Source organism: Homo sapiens, chromosome 19 (assembly GCF_000001405.40).
Source record: "Homo sapiens chromosome 19, GRCh38.p14 Primary Assembly".
In the NCBI taxonomy this organism is placed as follows: Eukaryota; Metazoa; Chordata; class Mammalia; order Primates; family Hominidae; genus Homo; species Homo sapiens.
In genome coordinates this window covers 30,917,698-30,923,697 of record NC_000019.10, presented here as the reverse complement: position 1 = coordinate 30,923,697, position 6,000 = coordinate 30,917,698, and the positions used below count along the sequence as shown (strand labels likewise).

Sequence of the window (6,000 nt, the reverse complement as noted above, 5' to 3'; positions counted from 1 at the left end):
CGGTTTCACTGAAATTACCACATAAATTCCAAATGAAGGATGGCCAAGAATATTCCAGCAATTCCAAATTCTCTCCTAAAGACACGGAGAAGGTACCAGGTGAGAGAGAGTGAAGACGTACCCCATCATCAATGTCACCAAAGGAAAAAAAATTAATATATTATAACAGTGATAGACTTAGCACCCAGGGAAACACTTGATAGAAAAAAATTGAGTTTGCTGCAATTTCTTAGCAAAATGATAGAGTTCTAGGTTGGGAATTTAGCAACAAACAGCGCTAATACCTTGCACTTCAAAGACACCTGTCATTCCAAGTACCTTAGCCACTGACAATAGGCTTAATTGCATTCAGCTATTTTGTCCTCTCTCAAAGGATCCTTGGCAGATCTATGGTAATTCTTGTTCTCCCACTGTTAGCCACGTGCCTCAGCTGGGTGCTGACTCGAAGAACAGGATGGAGACAGAATTGAAGGCAGTCATTTGTTCCTGGATATACATCTCTAACAGCTGAAAAGAGTTGGCAATTTTGGGGTCATATGAATCGGCAATGCAGAATAATATGATTAATGGTAGGGCAAATTTGGTTAATTGCTTATAATTTGCTGAGGTCAATCCCCAACACACAAGTTGCATTGTTTGCTCTACAGTAGTGACTTGGGGACAGTACATGAGTGGGCCTAGCAGGTGCATGCACAACTAACAGCAGCATCTCAGCATCCGGCAAAGGTTGGCTGAGGGTTTATTATGGGTATCACACTCCAGCCACCACCTTCATCAGCACACGGACCTGGCCCAGGTGGCTGAGCTGCTGCTCTTCAGGGCATTGGTGGCTTTGAAGGAATAAAGGTGGTGAAACTCTGCAAGAGGGTTCCCAAGGAACTCAGGTGCACAGACTTATAAAACAGAAGACAGCCAGAACAGCTCATTCAGTGCTTTGGAAAAAAACAAATGCAAATTGGTTATCTACATGTATCATACAGAAATCTAATAAAAAGGGAAGGTTTAGATGAACCCGTGGCCCAGGATGGTTTTGAATGCCACCCAACACAAATTCGTAAACTTTCCTAAAATATTATGAGATTTTTTTTTTGCAAATTTGTTTAAAGCTCATCAGCAGCCGTTAGCATTAGTGTATTTTATGTGTGGACCAACACAATTCTTCTTCTTCCAATGTGGCTGAGGGAAGCCAAAAGATTGGACAACCCTGGTTTAGATGTTGCCTATGTTTAAGTTTTCAACTTGAATTTCCCAAATGCTTAGAATGCGAAGACCCTATCCAAGTTGGTTTCTATCAAGTAAGTTTACTCCACATCGGCCACACCCTCTGCTGTTCACTCCTACTCTTCTTAATCACCAGAAGCAGTCACTCAGCTGGCAAGTGAGAGAAGAAGTGCCTCATTTGGTAACATGGCTGTCAGGATTTGGGGGCTCCAGGGACCCTTAGACTTAGAGATATGTATGTTGGGGAGTGGTAAAGGGGTGGCAGAAAATCCCTTCCTCCCCATGCCAGCTTTCAGGGAAGAGAGAGGCTGAAAGCCTCAGGAACACCAAAGGACATGGTGCTTCTAGACACCATGGCACAACCCAGCCTCTCATTGGTGGTTGATGAGCAGCACCAGAAATGCATGCTAGATGTGGACAGAGCTTTGGAAGCATTTGCTTGTGTCTCAGCAGACAGAGAGATGCTGCTGCTCTCTCACATAAGCCTTCCAATGATCCCATCTCAACTTTCACTGAATGATTGTGTGATTTTCTGTTCAATGTCTGTCTTTCACAAACTGCACTATCCATTAAGACAGAGGCTACATCTGTCTTGTTCTTTGCTAGACCCCTGGACCCAGCCCAGTTTGTGAGGCATAGAAGACATGGGTTGAGCAACTTAATACATCTAGGGTAGCCGTTCGTATTTCATGAGAAAGCTTGCAGTTCCAGAGAAGTAGATGATGTATCCAGAGGATGGGCAAGCCATGGGTAGACTTGGCAGCCATTCGCTCATGCAATCACCATTCACTCCACACCTACCCTGAGCTGTTCTAGATGCAGAGATATGCAGGTGAGTGAACAGAGCAGGTGCCTGTGGTCATGGAGAGTCTAGATGTAGAACAGATGAAGAACAAAAACTCAAATGAGTGCATGGATGAATGAATGAACTAACAAAATTTTGAGAAGAGTTAATTTCTACAAGCCAGGGTAAAGGGTGGAGTGATACAGAGATGGGAGCGATATTGCAAAAGGCCCATAGGAGAAGGTAATATTTGTGTGAAATTAACAGAAAGAAGCTTGTGGAAGACAGATCAATGATTTGTGGGTCCTGAGGCTTTTACGATTTGTGGAATCCTTTTGAGAAAGATATTTATAGGCCAGTCATGGTGGCTTATATCTGTAATTTCAGCACTTTGAGAGGCTGGGGTGGGAGGATCGTTTGAGGCCAGGAGTTCAAGACCGGCCTGGGAAACATAGTGAAACTCTGACTCTACAAAAAATAAAATACAAAAATTCACCAGTCGTGGTAGCATGCCTGTAGTCCCAGCTACTCGGGAGGCTGAGGCAGGAGGATTGCTTGAGCCTGGGTCTTCAAGAATGCAGTGAGCTGTGATCACACCACTGCACTCCAGCCTGGGCGACAGCATGAGATCTTGTCTATAAAAAAAAAATTAACAAAATAAAAAGAAAAATATTCATATGAAAGTAAATATTTACTGAGAATAAGAGGAGAGCACAAGAAATTCCTGGGTCTTGGAGATTCAGGAGCTCCTGAGAGTTCTGTATGTCTTCATCTGAAATGTCAGCATAGAAATGCTTCCTGACTGCCAGCCAGTCTCCACTCCCCACCTGAACCCTCTACCTGCCCTGGCACTAACAGGACCCAGCAAGTGCGTTTCCTCGTAGCTTAACTGGCATGAGCTTCTCTGGGCCCCCACAGGACAGTCTGCAGAAAGAGCTTTTGGGGCAGTGGAATCTGCATGTCCAGAGGCCCTGCCCACGTGGCCAGAGCACCGGAGCAAAGTTACAGGTGAGGGAGGTGAGATAGTGAGGTGGTCAGGGGCCAGACCTCAGCTGCCACAGGGAAGAGGCTCACTGTGTACCTCGGTGATGAGGTCATGCAGTATTAAGGCTGCGGGGCCCAGCAGCATCCGCCCCCCACCCCCCACCTTCCCGGGGAGCTCAGGTAGTTGGAGGAGCACCTGTCGCCACCTGACTCACGCAGAGCCGGGAAGTGAATCAAACAATCCAATCTGTGCTGCCTCACTCAAAACACGATGCCACTCTCACACCGGCCTTTAATTCTATTCCTCCTCCTATTTTCCTTTCAAATGTATGTTTTGTGTGGAGTTATCTGTCACCCGGGCGCTGTCAGTGAGATGTGTCATTCCTCTGTGTGTGCATTCTGATAAAATGGCCTTAATGCATATGCAAATCTGTCTTCTCAAGAAGGAAGTGTGTGGAAACACTCACATTTGGCTGGGAGTCTTATACTGTGAAAATACTGGAGAAGCATATGCGTTAATTTTACCTTAAATTGCAGACAGAAGCCACCCACCCTGTCCCTGACACACAGAACAAATAATTCAGATTTGAGGCATCGTATTTTCCATGAGATTAGCTTCAAGTTAGAAGGAGGACAGTGAGCTGGCAGTTCTTCCTTGTCCACACAGGGGTCCCAGAGAGCCAGGCAGGAGACCTCAACTTAACTTAACTTTCCTTTCTTTCCCTTTCCTTTCCTTTCCTTTCCTTTCCCTTCCTTTCCTCCTTCCTTCCCTCCCTCCCTCCTTCCTTCCTTCCTTCTTTTCTTTCCTTCCTTTTCTTTAATCTCTTCCTCCTCCTCCTCCTCCTTCTCCTTGTCCTCCTGCTCCTTCTTTCTTCTCCTTTCTCCTCCTTCTCTCCTCCTTTTCTTCTTCTTGTAACTTTTCTTAACTAAGAGTCATATTATAGAGAACCATACTTCCCTCCACCTTTTTTTCTATTAGAAAAAGGAACATGACCAGAACAGCATCCAAAACAACTCTACAATCACGTACCAGGTTATCTGACACATTAGTGATTTAAAAGGTCAATTATGGACATTTCAAGTACCAGTTTGGCTTCACGCTTCTCTGCCTCCTTAAAGTGCTAATAGGATGACATCCTATGAGACATGATCATCTGGGGATGTCAAGGTGGACTCCTGGAATGGGAGGATTTGGCAGCAGGGCTGGGGTTTAGCCCTTCCCCTGGCTGTCTTGTGTCTCCATCTCCCTCCAGCCCCATTATGTAATTATTTGGCCAGGCACCTGGCTGGCTTGGGCACAGGGAACAGAGATGATGTGAACTAGGCTAGGAAGTGTGAGGAGGATCCTTGGAGGAGTTGGCCATTGTGTGTGCCATCCCATGGGACAAAGGGCTGGCTTGGCGGGACTTTGGTGTGTCAATCAGTCCACGGCCAAGTTCATTGTGTGCTCAGCCCTGGTCATGGGGCAGAGCTGGGACGAGACTCCCTTCTTCCAGCATCTGACTGGCTGGCAGAGATAAGACTGAAATAATTCTAGGTCATGACCAAATACTGACCCATGCAAAGCTAAAGCATGGCACAGTGGGAGAGAGGATTTGGGGAAAGCATAAATTGATGTGGGATGGAGAACTAAAGAGTCTTCTTGGGAAAGAGGGGGCTTGAACCTAAACCTCTTAGAATCCACATGTAGAAAAAAAAAAAAAGAGGCCTCTCCCCCATCTCAGGAGACAGATCTTTGAAACTTGCCTATGACTTACCCTTTCTTAATAACAAAGTCACCCAATGCCCCTAGCATTTTTTATATTTTAACCAATTAATCTTCATTACAACTGTATGAGATAAATATCCCATATTATCGATGGGAAAGCCAAGGCTCAGAGAGGTAATCAACTTATTCAAGTTCACACAGCTTCTCCAAGCTTAGAGCTCCAAGTGGAAATCGATTGGCTCTGGGGCTCCCATGGTGCTCACTGGAAGACCTCGGCAAGGGTTTGAACCCGGGGAGTCTACTTCTTGAGTCCTTGCCTGTAACTATTCAATGCTCTGCGAAAAGTGGAGTGGAAGAATGGAGGGAGACCACGGCATATTCAAAGAACTACAAAAGGTTCCATCTGGCTGGAGTATGTGGAGAAAGAGGAGTTTTTTGTAGAGATGAGGCTGGAGAGACAGTCAGGGGTGGAAGAATGAAGACTAGGAGCTTGAACTTGAGCCTGTGGCAATGGAGAACCAAGGGAGGGTTTCAGTTAAGCTGCCAATAGTCAGTTATGTTAGGAGGGTTTTTCCATGTGTGAGATGAGAGGCAAGGAAAGCGTCAAATAAAAGCCTTTAGATGAGTCCCAAGGTCTCATCTTAGACAAAGGCTGGAGATGAGGGAACAGCGGGCATGAAATAATAAATAAATTAGGGCTGTGCTTTCAATGATATGGTGTTATTGTTATCAGTATCTTTTTTTGCATGCCATTCACTCTTCAATGCTCCTTTTTATGTGATTTGTTTCATTTAGGTCTCTTGGTAAGACCAGGAGAACAACATTCTAATTTCAGCTTCACGGATCACAGGTGTGAAGCTCTTTAGGAAAACTTTCCAGGACTAAGTTTTGGAACCTTGAAATCATACACAGGAAGGACAATTTAAATGCTTTCAATGTATTGATGCATTTCATCCTCCTAACAACCCTACAAAGCGAGCCTTATTCTCATCCGCATTTTATGTTGAAGGAAACAGCAGAGAGGTTAGGAAACTCACCTGAGATCACACAGGTAGTGAGTGTTGAGTGTCCGAGGCAGAACTCTGCGGTCTCTGCCCCAGAATAAAGGAGTCCAGGCTGAGTCGTGCCCCTCAGACCCCAGCCCGTGAAACAGCTGCTGAAGAGAAGCCCAGCAGGCCAAGCTTTTAAGGTACTCTTTTCAGAGCAATTATTTCTTCCAAATATTAGAAGATAAAAGTATCAGTGCAGGCTAGGGCATCACACTGATATGCTCACAATAGATATCATAGGTATTAAGTGCCGT

General features: G+C 45.2%; 1 annotated feature.

Moving 5' to 3' along the window:
• Positions 223-517: a silencer, noted in NCBI's record as "tiled region #9188; HepG2 Repressive non-DNase unmatched - State 24:Quies". NCBI's record gives its function as "represses a minimal TATA promoter and a strong SV40 promoter by Sharpr-MPRA in HepG2 cells {active_cell/tissue: HepG2}" and the evidence as "EXISTENCE:reporter gene assay evidence [ECO:0000049][PMID:27701403]".